General features: G+C 42.3%; 1 protein-coding gene across 7 annotated transcripts in view; it reads right to left on the bottom strand.

Moving 5' to 3' along the window:
- PHEX (phosphate regulating endopeptidase X-linked) overlaps positions 1-16,814 on the bottom strand; it is a 218,986-nt gene that overhangs the window by 143,719 nt on the left and 58,453 nt on the right. For 6 of the 7 annotated variants that reach the window (NM_000444.6, NM_001282754.2, XM_047442159.1 and 3 more), the window contains 3 exons: positions 13,493-13,609; positions 10,554-10,637; positions 8,441-8,586 (listed from right to left, as the gene is read on the bottom strand). In NM_000444.6, the coding sequence (NP_000435.3) occupies positions 8,441-8,586; positions 10,554-10,637; positions 13,493-13,609 (347 nt within the window). Of the gene's footprint in view, positions 1-2,651; positions 3,122-8,440; positions 8,587-10,553; positions 10,638-13,492; positions 13,610-16,814 lie in introns of those variants that run through there. The other variant, XM_011545536.3, reaches the window with a different exon arrangement.

Below are 16,814 nucleotides of genomic sequence, written 5' to 3'. Positions count from 1 at the left end.
GATATGTTGGAGAGGATGGTGAACAGGATCATCACTCAAGGAAGTGGGCAGAAAGGCCAGCCACACTGGGGAGATGCAGACAGCGACCAGGTCATGGTGTCTAGCACATTAATGGGCCGATCTTGGTCCTAGTGCAAGGACTTTATGTTCTTTGTCTCTAAAATACCTCTTACCAGGCATGTGAACCATGCTGGATCCATAGGTGGAGACGAGAAGGAGGTCAACAGCCAGCAGATGTCCTTTCATCAGTTCAAAAGATATTCCCTCAAAGGGGTGGTGATGAGCCAGAATAACTAGGGAAGTTGTTAGGGGGCCCAATGGTGGTGGTGGAAGATGTAGTATGGCAAAGTATACTGGGGTTTGAGAAGCAGGGGCCCTTCCAGCTCCCCTGAGATCATCCCATTTAGGCATCTCACATTAATTATGATCCTCACAGTGCTGCTGTAAGAGAGATGTTATTATACCCATTTTACATATGAGGAGACTTCAGGCTTAGAACCATTAAGTAAACTCACGATCACATATTCAGTGAGTCTCAAACTAGTAGAGTCACCTGGGGAAGTTGTTAAAAGTCCACATGCCTAGGCCACCCCAGGCCAATTAAGTCACAATCTCTAAAGTGGGACCCAACATAAATATTGCTTATAAATCTCCTCAGCTAAGTCCAATGTGAGGCCAAGTTGAAGAACCACTGTAATAAGCAATGGAGGCCGGACCAGACCCAGGTGTGTCTAACTCTAAAGCCTGCATGCTTTTCCCTATGCCAGATAGTGATGAATTAAAGCCTCTATTTGGTTTTTTTTTTTTTTTTTTGAGACAGAGTTTCACTCACTCCTGTCACCCAGGCTGGAGTGTAATGGCACAATCTCAGCTCACTACAGCCTCGATCTCCTAGGCTCAAGGTAACCTCCTGCCTCAGCCTCCCAAGTAGCTGGGACTACAGGCATGCGCCACTGTGCTCAGCACATTTTTTTTTGTATTTTTGGTAGAGACAGGGTTTCATGATTTTGCCAAGCTGGTCTCAAACTCCTGGACTCAAGCAATCCGCCCAACTCGGCCTCCCAAGTTGCTGGGATTACAGGCGTGAGCCACCACGCCTGGCCAAAGCCTCTAATTTAGCTAAGATTTCCTGGCCAGTCACAGAGACCCCAAAACACTCCAACAAAGATGCTTCACAGAAATCTGTGGGCACAAAAAGAATTACGAGGACTTCCTGGACAAGGCATTACAAAGGTGATAGCATAACAACCAGACCTCTGCAAGCTGGAAGCTGTAATGCTGAGAAGTTCACACAGCGAGACAATGGCACTGATGAGTTTCTTCAGTGTGTTATAAATACACTGACAGAATGCTATGGAGCACAGTTTTGGAGTGCTAATATTACCACGCCAGGAACAGATATAACCATAATGACTGAATCACTGTCACCTAATGCTCAGATATATCAAAAAGCAAAAATCACAGTCAGCAACAGTCCTTGAAAATAACACATAATATCCTTTTTTCCCAAAAAAACACATTTTCAGCCATATGGTAATTTCCCCAAGTGGCAATAAATCAAACAGAGAAAGGCAAAGCATCTCAAAAGAGCACCCACCACAAAGAGAGCAACATGAAATCATTTCCTAAAGCCTCTGACTTGGAAGATTCTTTTAATTTTTAGATTTGGGATGCTCAATTGGTAATTATAATGCAAATATTCCAAAATCTGAATAAATCCAAAATCAGAAACACTTCCAATCCCAAGTATTTTGGATAAGGGATACTCAAATTGTAGTGGCAGCTTACATTTGTATCACATTTAAGAGATCATAAAATACCTTCTTTGATATTTCTAACAGTGCTGTGAGGTGATTATTATTATTATCCTTATTTTCAGGTGAAGAAAACAAAGGTAAGAGGTCAAGGTACTTCCAAGAATGTGTCAAATCCAGGACTAACATCTGGGTTTTCAGATTCCAGAACTTGCATTTGCTCGTCTTGGTCATACTATCTGAAGTGAGCCACAGAGGCTCTTCTTAAAGGTTCTCAAAGCCAGAGATCTTCCTACAGGCTGCCTAGAGGCTTATGTAAGGCAGTGATTCTGAAAGTGTGTCCCTGAGCCAGCAGCTTCAGCGTCATCTGAGAACTTGTTAGAAAATTCCTAGGCCTTACCGCCAGACCTGCTGAATCAGAATCTGTGGGGTGGGGGGCCAGCAGACTGTATTTTAGCAAACCCTCCAGGGGATTCTGAGGCGTGTCAGGTTTGAAAACAGCTGGTCTAGGAAAACTCCATCTCCGCATCGTTCTGCACACACAGCTCAACTAGGACTTCCTAAATCCCACATCAGTGCTTCTTAAACTTGAATGTATATATGAGTCCCCTGGGGATCTTATTCAATTTCAGCCTCTGATTCAGTAGGTCTGGGGCAGAGCCCGAGAGTCTGCATTTCTGACAAACTCCCCAGTAATGTCTCTGCTGCTCATCTGTAGGCCATTCTTTGGCTAGCAAGACCCTAGATCACTCTCAGAAGAGCTGGCCCCCAGGAGAGGTCCACATAACAGCACATTTTCCAGGTCATCCTTTGGGAACATGCAACAAGAATCATCTTACTTTAATGTACATTGTACTTGCTTTATATGAAAATAAAACTAAAGACAGGAATACTTACAGGGTCCTTGACAAAACTCCAAGGGTTTGCTCTAGGCCAGTCTGCTAAAAAACAAAACAACAACAACAACAAAAGAAAACAGTCCTGGCGCAGATGATCTCCATGGATCCAGCCCTGGCCTGCAAGAGGAAATCACGTCAGCTCCTCCTGATGCCAACCTTCCTTGGCCTCTCCTCCTCCCACTCTTACTCCTCAGATAAAAGTAGATGGGAAGTGTCTGAGGCAGCCTCGAGTCAGGAGTGAGGAGGAGAATTGAGGGGGACAGAAAGGGAGAGAAGTCTATAGTGCCCCTCACCCAGTGATGTGCTAGTAAAGGTTGCCAACTGCCTTGTCAAGAAAAAGAAAAATGATTTGTTACATTTGCCAATTTCCATGGTGTCAAAATCCCCCATAGTTGAATTGAAACTATCAACATGAGATCACCGAACATGTAGTTAGGAAGAGATGCACATAACATGAGGGATCATCACTACCTCCTTACCCCACCCCCCTTTCCACCTCAAACACCAGCTCTTGTTCCCCACAGGCAGCCTCCAGCTCATTCCTCCAAGGGTCCCTCCCTGGCCACCTACCCCCTTGGACTGCAAGGGCTGGTGTGGTTTGGCACCACCACCACTGGAGGATCTCATTGCTCTAATTCTGTACCATGCACCACCTACCAAAGAGTCAGTGCCACTGTCCCCACAGCCACTCAGTCAGAGAAAGAGGCCTAATCCCCTAGACTGGCAGTGGGAGTAATATAAGAAGGGAGAAGCAGCAATTGAGAAATGAGCAGCTGAAAGAAAAAAACAAACAATCCCATCAAAAAGTGGGCAAAAGACATGAATAGACAATTCTCAAAAGAAGATATACAAAGGGCCAACAAACATATGAAAAATGCTCAACATCACTAATTATCAGGGAAGTGCCAAACCACAATGAGATACCACCTCACTCCTGTGAGAATGGCCATAATCAAAAATCAAAAAAATAACAGATGTTGGCATGGATGTGGTGAAAAGGGAACACTTTTACACTGCTGGTGGGAATGTAAACTAGTACAACCACTATGGAAAACAGTATGGAGATTCCTTAAAGAACTAAATAGAACTACCGTTTGATCCAGCAATACCACTACTGGGTATCTACCCAGAGGAAAAGAAGTCATTATACAAAAAAGATACTAGCTCATGCATGTTTATAGCAGCAGCACAATTTGCAATCGCAAAAATATGGAACCAACATAAATGCCCATCAACCAACGAATGGATAAAGAAAATGTGGTATATATACACCATGGAATACTACTCAGCCATAAACAGGAAGGAAATAATGGCATTCGCAGCAGCCTGGATAGAGCTGAAGATGATTATTCTAAGTGAAGTAACTCAGGAATGGAAAAACATATATCGCATGTTCTCACTTATAAGCAGGAGGTAAGCTACGAGAATGCAAAGGCATAAGAATGATATAATGGACTTTGGGGACTCAGGGGGAGAGTGGGAGGGGGTAAGCAATAAAAGACTACATATTGGGTACAATGTACACTGCTCAGGTGATGGGTACACCAAAATCTCAGAAATCACCACTAAAGAATTTTTCCATGCAACCAAACACCACCTGTTCCCCCAAAATTATTGAAATAAAAATAAAAATAAAAAATAAGAAATGAACAGCTGACACCAACACAGGATGGCTTTGAACTGCTGAACATTGCAGGAAAATTGCCAAAGCTAGCAATATCTAACTAGCTGAGGGTACAATACGCTAGCATCTCCAAAATGAGCAGTGAAGCATCTGAAAAGTATCTCTTTTCACACCAAGACATTTATGGAAAAAAAGAGACAAGACATAGAAATGAGGGTGACCCCATTTAGAATCTCAGCTCTGTTTCCTCTTAGAGGTGTGATCTTGGCCAAGTCACTTAACCTCAGCTTCCTCATCTGTAAAGTGGGAACAACGCATAGAATTGTTGTAAAGATCAAAGATGTTAACCATAGTGGTGGTTAACATCACCATTACCTGTATATGATTTTTATAGGCAGATTCTCGAAACAGAGGCACAGCAGAGATGCCCAATGTGAGAAGGCTTGGCTGGCTTTTTCTTCAATGGTGCCTCCAAGGGAAAGGTAGGAGGTGGGGGGATCCTCAGAACATTCATCTGATGCTTTTCCTCTACATATCCTGAGCCCAAGCTGGCCTCTCAGCTCTCTAGCCCCCTGCCTTGCAGGCAACACCCAAGTTCACATTGGTTCCACCACTGAAGATGCTTACCATCCCCTTTTCTCTATTCTTCCCTACCTAGAAAATTCCTCTTTATCCTTTGGGGTTCCATTCATATGTCACCTCCTTGTGGTGGTGATGGGGTATCTGGTTAACTTCTAGAATTTTTAAAGTGTCTACTACATGAGAAGCACTGTGCTAGGTCACAACACTTAAAAAAGCAATCACAAGACAGCCTGCCAGAAGCAACCTAAGTGTCCATCAACAGATAAATGGATTTTTAAAAATGTGGTACATATACACAACGGAGGACCATTCAGCCATAAAAAAGAATGAGATCCTGTCATTTCCAGAAACATGAGTGGAACTGGAGATCATAATGTTAAGTGAAATAACCTGGCACAGAAAGACAAACTTCACATGTTCTCACTTATCTGTGGGAGCTAACAATTAAAATAATTGAATTCATAGAGATAGAGAATAGAAGGGTGGTTACTGGAGGTTGGGAAGGATAGCAGAGGGGAAGGAGGGAAGGAGGGATGGTTAATGGGTACAAAAAAATAGAAAGAATGAATAAAACCTAGTAGTTGCTAGCACAACAGGTAACTATAGTCAAAAATAGTGTAATTGTACATTTTTAAATAAATAAAACAGTATAATTGGATTGCTTGTAACACAAAGGACAAATGCTTGAGGGGATAGATACCCCATTTACCTTGATGTGATTATTATGCATTACATTCCTGTATCAAAATATGTCCTGTGCCCACAAAAATTAAAAATTAAAAAAGAGTGCCTGCCATGAGGTGCTCACAGTGTCATAGAGGTAGGGAGCAGGGAAGTATTTGCCATTGAGAGAAAAGTGGTCATTTCAAGAAAATGAGATAGGCTCTTTGATAAAGGCATGTCTAGGGAAACTCCAACTCCTTTTCCTTCTGGGTATATAGCTAAACTATATTTCCCAGTCTCCCCTACAGCTAGATGAGTCACAAGACTGAGTTCTGGCTTATGGATTATGGGTAGAAGTGACATACCCCACTTCTAGGCCTTCCCACCAAAACCTATACAATCCTCCACCCTCTCTGTTTCTCCATCCTCCAGCTGAATAGAGAGGATGCCAAACATCCAAGGGAGGGCAGAGCCATAAGATGAAAGGAGTCTGGCTTCCTAAGTCACTATTTAGAAGAAAGCTCTCTTACAGGGACACCCATGTTCAGACTGTTCCATGAGCAGAGGGTACAATTTAGCCAATGAGTGTTTAGAGGTGCTGGTTATAGCAACTGGCATATCCTGACCAATATGGCAATTATGGGAACCCAAGAAGACTTTTCCTCAAGTAGCCCTGTAATGCTACACGAGTGGTGATTAAACACGATCATCAATGAAAAAACATCACCATAGTCTGCAAATAAAATGCTGTCAGACTTCTCATGATGTGTACGTTGTATTGAAATCTCACAAGAATACGCAGAACACAAGTTGCTTTTTATAAACTGGTGGTTGAGGGATAAACTGTGTGAAAGAGATTTGGGATTTGGCTTTATTTTTATTTATTTATTTTTTAAGACAGAGTCTCGCTATGTCACCCAGGCTGGAGTGCAGTGGTGCGACCTTGGCTCACTGCAACCTCCACCTCCTGGGTTCAAGCGATTCTCCTGCCTCAGCTTCCCAAGTCGCTGGGATTACAGGTGCCAGCCACCACGCCCAGCTAAATTTTGTATTTTTTTTAAGTAGAGACGGGGTTTCACCATGTTGGCCAGGTTGGTCTTGAACTCCTGGCCTCAAGTGATCTGCCCACCTCAGCCTCCCAAAGTGCTGGGATTACAGGTGTGAGCCACCGCGCCTGGCCAATTTTTGTCCTTATTTTTAAATGAAGTTGTATGTGTACATAACATCTAAGGTGACTTTTCCATCTATGTTTTTTCTACTGTTGTTCTCTACGTTTATATTTGTCCAAGTTATCATTTTGACAAGAATCAGAGTAAAATCTCCCTCCAATCATGCTCTTTTCCATTGTTATGAAAGGTCCTGCAATTACCAAGTAAAATCATCACGATAGAGATGCTTTTTCTAATACAGTAAACCAAATCCCAATCTATCCCCTGATTGTAAATTAGGCTTTTTTGGAAGTAAAATCAATCAGTGTTCAGAAGTACCTACTCTTTTAACACAGATACTAGAAGAAACTGACTCACGAGGTGAAGGATGAATCTAAAGCAGGCCAAACTCCACCTTTCAATGGAAATTACCACCAAAATTTAAAATGTGCTCCGTAACTCAATGGCATATGAGTAGAAAATCGTTTGGGTCATATTTTATAGTATTTGAGAGCTAGGAAGTACTTACAAAGAAATTTTCTAATACAGTGATCCCCTTCCCCTCCCCTAAGAAAAGTTAATCATAAGATTCTTCTGAGGTACTTGTTTAAAATAAAGATTACTTGGCCTCCCCTCCAGCTCTACTGGATCAGACTCAATGGAGGAGGGCCTTGGAATCTGCATTTTTAACAAGCACCCGAGGTGATGCTGCTGACATTCCTGGTCCATGGAGCAAGGCTCTACCCTGCAATATAATTACGTACCTCTAGATTCAATTTCCATTTAGAACATTTTCAAAGAATCCTGGCTTATCTCTAAATGATAGAATTTTAAGTAAATTAATTGTTTCTTCTCTCCTTTTTCTGTATGTTTTCCTCAGTGAACACAGATTACTTTTATCATCAGAAAGTATCTTAAAAAGAGCAGCAGCTCCTCTCAGGTGTCTAAGTGTTTCCGTAGGGGATAAATGCTACATTTTCTTCCAAGGACTGTTGTGCCTTTTTTAAAAAACGTAACTTCTGGCAACATAGCCTTGTCTGAGTCCAAATAAGAAAATGTGATTTTAATCATGGCCCAGCAATTAACTCAGTAAAGTGTTTTGTAAACTCGTTGATTCATTTTGTAAGCTCTGTGATTCATTTTCTGTAGTCAAAGCTGAATGCCTTAAGGAACCTGTAAAATTCTCCTTCCTGGAATATTGGAAGATTTTTCTTTGTAGCAATAAACTAGCAAAGCAACAAATTCTAAAACATTCTTTAAAATAAGAAAAACCTGGCAGTTCCTAAAGTTGTTTTATCCGTGCAATTTTTCTACCACTCTCAAGGTGGTCTTGTGTCTTCTCAATACAGTTACTTTAGTTTATTGCCAGAAAGTGACTTAATGGTTAAAAAGGAACCAGGAAAAAAAAAAAAAAGCAGCAAAAGATTGAGAATGAACTGGGGAAAAAAAAAGATGTTCACACAGACATTTTAGAAAATAACATCATTATATGACTAGCTCCCCAAGCTCATAAACAATTTAGGATCTCAAAGAGAACAGCATGGAGAAAGACCAGAAATAAAGGGCAAAAACATTTGTTATCATTGCAGCAAGTAAATTACACCAGACAGTGCTTTTGGCCAGTTCATCACAAAGGACACCGGGATTTTCCCTATGACTCTTTTGATGTAACATTCTTTAAAAACAGTTTTCAAAGGATGTGAGAAGGGAAGCCCTTATAATTTAAAGAAAACACAAAAGTCACAGTAAAATTCATGTGAAAGTTCTTACTTCTTTCTCTCAGACCCTAATATCCTAAACAAATCTTTAAAGTACTGCGGGACGCGGACCACCACATTCTCGGAGGGGCTGATGTCTTTCAGATGGGGGTAGAGTCTGGTGTCAATGACCTTCTTGATGTAGCCCAGCCAGTCGAACTGAGGGGAGAGAGAACAAAACAGAATGAGAGAATCTCGGTTAGGTAGCAAGTAAGAAAGGCAGATAGAGTAGATTGAGCATCATTCATTTCTTTTGATTTCACACCTAATAATTCAAGATGCAACTACTCAAGTCTAGAAAATAAACTCCTGATCATTGCCATCCAGACCTATTGTCTTTTTTTTTTTTTTTTTTTTTTTTTTTTTTTTGAGACATTCTCGCTCTATCACCCAGGCTGGAGTGCAGTGGCATGATCTTGGCTCACTGTTACCTCTGCCTCCTGGGTTCAAGCAATTTTCCTGCCTCAGCCTCCTGAGTAGCTGGGATTACAGGCACCTGCCACCACACTTGGCTAATTTTTTTTTTTTTTTTGTATTTTTAGTAGAGGTGGAATTTCACCATGTTGGCCAGGCTGGTCTCGAACTCCTGACTTCAAGTGATCCACCCACCTTGGCCTCCCAATGTGCTGGGATTACAGGTATGAGCCACCATGCTCGGCCTGACCTATTGTCTTAATCACAAATGGAGCATGTGTTCTGTACCATCTACATCTGGACGACACCCACACACACACTAACACAGTAATATGCACCCTCACTCCCTTGGCCCCCTCCAGTACTCTTCCTCCTTCCTGAACTCTCCCCTCTGTCTTTCTCTCCCCATTCTGCTCTCTCCCTGTCCAGTACTCTTCCTCTATTCTATACTCTTTCTTCCTCCCATACTCTTCCCTCCTTCTCTCCTGCATTTCTCTTCCTCCTTCTAAATTCTTCCTCTATACGGTACATTTTCTCTCTCCCTCCCTCCCTTTCTCTGTCCTGTACTCTCCCTCACTCTCACATACACACAGAAACAGATGCCCCAGTACATAATTTGTCTCTGTGACACAGTTTTTAAAAAAAAAAAAAAAAAAACACAAGAGGAAATAAGCAGCAACAGAAAGTAAATGCAGCCAGGCATGGTAGCTCACACCTGTAATCCCAGCACTTTGGGAGGCCGAGGCAGGTGGATCATTTGAGGTCAGGAGTTTGAGACCAGCCTGGCCAATCCCATCTCTATCAAAAATACAAAAATTAGCTAGGTGTGGTGGCCGGCACCTGTAATCCCAGCTACTCGAGAGGCTAAGGCAGGAGAATCACTTGAACCCGGGAGGCAGAGGTTGCAATGAGCCAAGATCACACCACTGCACCCCAGCCTGGATGACACAGCAAGACTGTGTCTCAAAAAAAAACAAATAAAAACACAGAAAGTAACATGCCTCCATTCTTCAGAGCATCCCTATCCTACCTAAAACACCATATGGTGTTTTTTAGATTGGCTACTCTAAAAGTCTTTTCCCAACCTTTTCTTCCTTGCCTGTGTCCACTGTTGAAACGGAAAACCAGTTACTCACTTGCCCAACCTCCCCTGTGGTTAGGAGTGGCCATGTGACCCAATCCTACTCAATAAGAAATAAAGGGAAGACATCTGGAGATGTTCTGGAAAGGCTTGTTTGTTTTTCCTAGTAAAAGAGTTAGACACATCACTGGCCCTTTCACCTTCTTCCTGCTCTGACAGCAGATGTGATATATGGAGCTGTGATGGATACCTTGGAACCATGAGTCATCAAACATGAAGTCAAAAAGCCAACACACTAAACACAGTAGGATGGAAAGATAGAAAGAACTTGGGCCTTTGACAACACTGTTAAACAGCTGAGCCAATGCCAACAATTACCTATGTCTAGACTTTTGTCATGTGAGAATATAGGCTTTAAGTTTCTAAGCCACTGTTGGAAAGATGTTTTGTTCCCTGTAACAGAAGGCATCCCAATACACAGACAAGGGATATTTTATGTGATTGTTGACAAAGATGATGATAACCAAGACTGAGAGCAGGTTTTACAAGACACAAATTTACACAGAGATGAAATCCAATCCCTTCTAAAATGATGAGTTGAGAGAAAGTTTTCTGGATAGTTTTCACCAACCTGGGGAATCATAGCACTCAGTTCAGAAATGTTCATTTTGTTGTACATGGCCTCGCTGGTTCGGTTTTCATGTGGAATCATTATCTGTTGAAAAGAGATTTTTGTTATTTTTTTTCAAGTGAACCATTTCTTACTGTATGATTACTTCCTACATGTGCCAAAACATCTGCATAGTATTATAAAGTTTTTCAAGGCTTTGGTGTGGTCCCCAACTCGGGGAAGAGAAAAAAAGACATCACTTTAGGCAGGATTAAGAAAATAAACTTTCATATCCTCCTCTGTGTGAAATATTGTCCCCAGTACAAAAAGAACTACCCCAAATCTCCCTCCCAATCTATAATGTGGATGGGCAAAATCTATTGCTGGCTCAATTTTGACAATCAAACTTAAGTTGGACATTGAGGTAAACATCCCATTGTCACCTGTGGTCTCCAGATAATGATTTCAATATTTCATGAACCACAGACCATCCCTTCACCTCTAGGGGCAAATTTTCACTGATGAACACAAGACTATCTGGATGCCACTGTTCCCCGTGATCATTTTGTCAACAGCTCATTCCCTCATTTCCCCTCTTGTCTCTTTGGCCTTGAGATTTCCCTAGCCCCATTGCTGGGGGTATGGATTTAGTCACCGCCTGGACACACATTTCAAAACTTGCCTCTCTCTAGCCCTGGCTCTATACTCTTTCAATTCCTAATACTCATGCTCTTGGCCATTTGGCCAACACCAAATCTGAGCTTCTAGCCTCCACTATGTTTAACCTAAGAACAGCAGCAATGATTATCTTCCTCAAGGATCATCTTAATCACTTCCATTGACCAGCAGTAGCTCACATATCCACCCCTCAATCACGTCATGACTTTGCCTTCGGGCCTTCCATCATCTAATTCCCTTGCATTAAACTTGCCACCTTCCCACTGCACACATGACTCTCCGACTCTTGCATCTCCTATCCACCATCACCACCTCCATGGTTTGAACTATGACTCAGGACTGCCCAAGACTCACTGCATCTAGCAAGCCTTTCCAATTACACTCCACTTGGTTCCAATCACAAGGGCTACTCCATCAATAAAACCTCTCCTTGTGCACACATCTCTCTAGCTGGATTGGTTAAGTATATGCTTCCCTGGTTGTAATTACAAGGACGTATTTGGCTGGGCTGGACTGTCTTGTCTTCCCAGCTTCAGAAGTTTCCATAGGACTATGTATCCCACTAATTTTAAAAGTACCTAGTGATGTGTAGTGTAAGATATGGAAGTGAGCATTACTAGCAGTGATTTTTCAAGGTAAAAATTACAGAGGGCTGACTGGCAGACGTCTGGCCCCTCTTTGCTAAATGCTTCAGTGTCCTTAGCTTCCCTTTCTTCACCCTCCACAGGAGAGACCACATGTAACTTACAAACAGCCTCCTGGCTCGGTGTGAATCATTGCCTCAGAGGATATCCACACTCCTCTTCCACCAATCCCTCCTCCGCCCTCGGAGTCTCACAGCCCCAAGTTGGAGCCCTTTGGCCTCAGAGCTGTTTTCAGCTCTCTGCCAGCCACTCCCCTCCACACAATAGATTTGTCACTTCATTTAGCCTTTTGACAATTCCCAGTCTTGCCTCAGCCCAGCTGTTTTTAGTTCCCTTTTTGGTCCAAATCCCTGGCTCAGGGCAAGGCCTTCCCTGCTGTTTCAGAGTTTTAGTCCAAATGAGAGCCCTGGGCCTCCTATGTGCCTGGAAAGAGAATTCAGACAGACTCTAGACATGGCTCAGAGGCACAGTCCTGGACTTCGAAACATCTGCAGCAGTCTTCACAGTCTTCAAAGGTGACATGCAGGAATGAACTTTTTGCACTGCAAGTAGGAGTTTGGAGAGAGCTATACACGAACATCACCACGGCAAAGAGAGAGAGACCAATTCCTCCTTACCCTTATCCTTCATCCCTACTCCATACCTCAACACACCACCACCACCTCGCCAAACAAAACCAATCAACATTTGGACTCTTATTCATCTCGAGATTTTTACCAACTTCTCTTGTAAAAGATTCCCAACACATACGCAAAACTTTCTTGGTAAAAAGTATCATTTTTTTCACTACAGGGTTTCCCCAGAAGCAGATTTTACCACATTTATTCCCTCTTGGCCTAGGAACATATAGAGAGATTTTTACACTTTCTTTCTTCTAGAAAAAAGTTATTCCATAAACAAAGCTAACCATTTAGGAGTTCTCATTATTTTGCCCACAAGTTTGTTTTTACATCTTTTTGTCTCTACAATGAGCCAACAAGAAGTTAAGGTAATTTACATAGACATGTAGTTCTGTGTCATGTATATGACACAATGATATTCATTAAAGTAGGGCAAGAAAATAATGAAAAACAGGGGCAGGTACAAAGTAATACCAGAAAGGTCGTTTAAAAATGCTTACCAGCATGTCCTACCTATTTCTATACCAACTTTTATATCCAGTATTGGTGGACAGATTTCCCTGAGCCCAGAACTTAAGCCAGAATGACTCTGAGTGGGGATAGCATAAAACATGGGCTGGATTAAAAGCAACCTTCCATTCAAGCCAGATTACTAAGGATTTATTAAACATCTATCTTCTATTTAAGCCAAACATGAGTTTCTCCAGGAAAAACGGTCAGAGGGTCTCTCTGCTGCTATTCTTTGGCCACAGCTGAGCAACGTATGGACACTGAATGGGCTTAAACCAGGGAGGTGGAAGGAATGAGGAGCTTTTCTGTCACAGTCCTTGTTACTTCCTAGAGGGGATGCTATTAGTTCTACCTTGGGCCCAATGGGCAATGACACAAAACGCTATTATTTGTTTGCAATTTATATTTTCATTCAGGATATACTGCCTTTAATAAAAGGAAAGGAAAAGAAAGTAAAGGAAAAGAAAAGAAAGTAAAGGAAAGAAAGAGATTTTCAGTGAAGACTTACCTCAGCTATCTTAATTTCCAATCTGAGCACTGACTTCATGTCATGCTCTGCTCTGGAACTGTTAGCTCCTAAAAGCACGGCAGTATCCACCATGAACTTGTAAAGGGCATCCCGATACTGTAAGAAATAAAGAACAAAGTGACCATGACAATAGCTTCTTAGGAAATATGTTTGAGAGACATGGAAGAGCAGAAAATAGCAGGTAGAAATAAATGTCTTTTATTTTCACTCTGTACTCAAAGTATGGTGCAGGCATTATGCAATACCAGGCACCCATATAACACTTTGGGAGAAAAAAAGAGTGACGGCTACTTGAGTACTGTTTCCATGACAGACAGAGATGTCCAGCCATCAAGCAACAAGAGAACTAGTTTTCTGGCAACCGTCGATATTATGGATACATGAAATAACTCCAAATGAGACAAGAATAGAAAGTTAAAGGTCAGACTTCCTCTTTCCAGACAAGTGAGGCTTTAATAAAACAATGGGAAAGAACTGTTTCTAAAAGCAGGAGGCCTGATCCATAAAGAATGGTGGGAGGTGTGATTTATTCTCTTGCAACTCAATTTACCCACCTTCACACTAAGAAATAAAAGACCAGTGACAGCAGCCCTGTGTCTTTTCAGGTTTTTACAGTTTTCACAAAGTCCTGCTCCCTAGCTCAGGAAAAAAAGGAGAAAAGAGAGGAACGATGATAGGAAACCTAACAAATAGCAAATATAGAATTTCCTTCTTACATACTCATAAACCCATTTTGGGGATAATCATATGTCATTGGGTGGGGCAGGGGTGACCTTACTTAATGGGAATTAAAGAACTGCCTTAGGCCCACCTCTCATTTCAGATATATTTGTGAGATCTCAACGCATCAGGTATTAAATGACCTCCTTCTCATGCATTGGGAATAAGATTTACTAACTTATACCTTGACTCTGTAAGCTATTCTTACTATATGTATGACCTTAGGACCTATACAGTACTTAGCATACAGGAGGCCTTTAATAAATCTTTGTTGAATCAGTAAGCAAGCTTTGAAAAGAGTCTTAAATAGGCTGGGCGTGGTGGCTCACGCCTGAAATCACAGCACTTTGGGAGGCTGAGGCAGGTGGATCACGAGGTCAGGAGTTCAAGACCAGCCTGGCCAACATGGTGAAACCCCGTCTCTACTAAAAATACAAAAAAACTAGCTGGGCGTGGTGGCGCACGCCTGTAGTCTCAGCTATTCGGGAGGCTGAGGTAGCAGAATCGCTTGAACCCAGGAGGCGGAGGTTGCAGTGAGCCGAGATTATGCCACTGCATTCCAGCCTGGGCAACAGAGGGAAATTCCATCTCAAAAAAAAAAAAAAAAAAGAAAGAAAGAAAAGAAAAGAAGTCTTAAATAGAAATAATATTTTGCTATTCCTAATTCAATTCAAAACATATTTATTGGCCGGAGGTGGTGGCTCACACTTGTAATTCCAACATTTTGGGAGGCCGAGGTGGGCAGATCACTTGAGGCCAGGAGTTTGGGACCAGCCTGGCCAACATGGTGAAACCCTGTCTCTACTAAAAATACAAAAATTAGCCCGGCATGGTGGTGCATGCCCATAATCCCAGCTACTCGGGAGGCTGAGGTGGGAGAATCACTTGAATCCAGGAGGCAGAGGTTGCAATGAGTCGAGATTGTGCCACCGCACTTCAGCAGGGGCAACACAGTGAGACTCTATCTAAAAAGAAAAACCAAAAAACATATTTATTGAGTACCTACTCAAATGTACAAGGTGGCTTGGTAGGCCCTCTGTGCATATGTTAGGAGAGGGTGGTACAGAAAAAAAATAATAATGCTGTGTCTGGTTCCCAAACAGTGAGGGAGATAAACATGTAATTATGAACTGTAACATTAAAGACATCAAAATAACTTCCTTAATAAAGCTGCTACACGCTTGGAAACTGAAGATCTGAGAGAAAAATCTAGCCCGGAGAAACTGGGGACATAGCATTTGAGGGAGACTGGTTCCAACGCAGTGAAGGGTCCTGTGAGGTGGGTGATATGGTTTGGCTGTGTCCCCACCCAAATCTCACCTTGAATTGTAATAATCCCCACATGTCAAGGGTAGGGCCAGGTGGATATAATTGAATCATGGGGGTGGTTTCCCCCACATATTCTCATGGTAGTGAGTAAGTCTCATGAGATCTGATGGCTTTATAAATGGGAGTTCCCCTGCACAAGCTCTCTTGCCTGACACCATGTAAGACGTGACTTTGCTCCTCATTCACCTTCTGCCACGATTGTGAGGCCTCCCCAGCCACATGGAACTGTGAGTCCATTAAACCTCTTTCCTTTATAAATCACCAAGTCTCAGGTATGTCTTTATTAGGAGAAAAAGAATGGACTAATACAGTGGGCAAGCTGCTTTTGTTGGGGGAAGAACAAATCCAGATGAGATAGGAAAGATGACTTGGGATAAAGTCATGAGGCAGCCTTGAAAGCCCTCTAAAGAATTTAGACCCTGTCTTGGGAGCGAAGGCATGCTAGGAGCAGTGCTTTGAGAACAGAACTTGTCAACTGGTGCTAAGGAGGCAATGTGATGAAGGAGAAGCAGTAACAGTTAAAAGGCTACTTGCTGTAGTCAAGGCAAGAGTTAACAAGAATCTGACCTATAGCAGTCAGGATAGAAAAGAGGGACCAAGTGGATGGAAGAGATATTTTGAAGGTAGAATCATTAGGACTTGACAGATAGGTTATAGGGGGAGACGATTTTGAGCCTGGTTGCTGAGACTCCATCAATACCAGGGGTACACCCTCCCCCCACATTGGCAAATGTTCATTCTGTCCACTTTTAGGAAGGAAAACTTGCCAACCCTCTTTGGTGAGTGTCCTCAGCAAGAAAGCTGCCCAGCATCTTAGTTAGCTTCCCTCCAGAGCCTTCTATGTATAGAAGTTAGTATCGGCATAGACCCAGGGGACCTAGGTCTGAGGCTCCTTTGGAAGTTCAATAAAGTTTCCAAAATAAATTGAAAGTGTCAGAAATGAACCAGCTCTTTCCAATATCCAGGAGACTGCTAGATTTCTAAGCCAATCCAAGAAGTCTAACTTGATTGATCCTTTCTGATTCTTATTAAACCTCCATTAACCTGGAACACCTGTTAAAAATATAGATTCTCAGACCCTACCTCAAGTCTAAGTCAGACTCTCCAGGGCTGTGACCCAAGAAGCAACATTTAATGAAAGCCTCCCAAGTGATTCTAAAGCAGTACAATTTGGGAACCATCTGTCTCCTGGGTATCTCTTCTGACGCTTTATTTCTGCAATTGATAGTGAGCTCTCTGCACTTCTGAGGAA

Source organism: Homo sapiens, chromosome X (genome assembly GCF_000001405.40).
Source record: "Homo sapiens chromosome X, GRCh38.p14 Primary Assembly".
Lineage (NCBI taxonomy): Eukaryota > Metazoa > Chordata > Mammalia > Primates > Hominidae > Homo > Homo sapiens.
The sequence above is the reverse complement of the archived record's forward strand: the minus strand, read 5'-3'. Positions and strand labels throughout refer to the sequence as shown.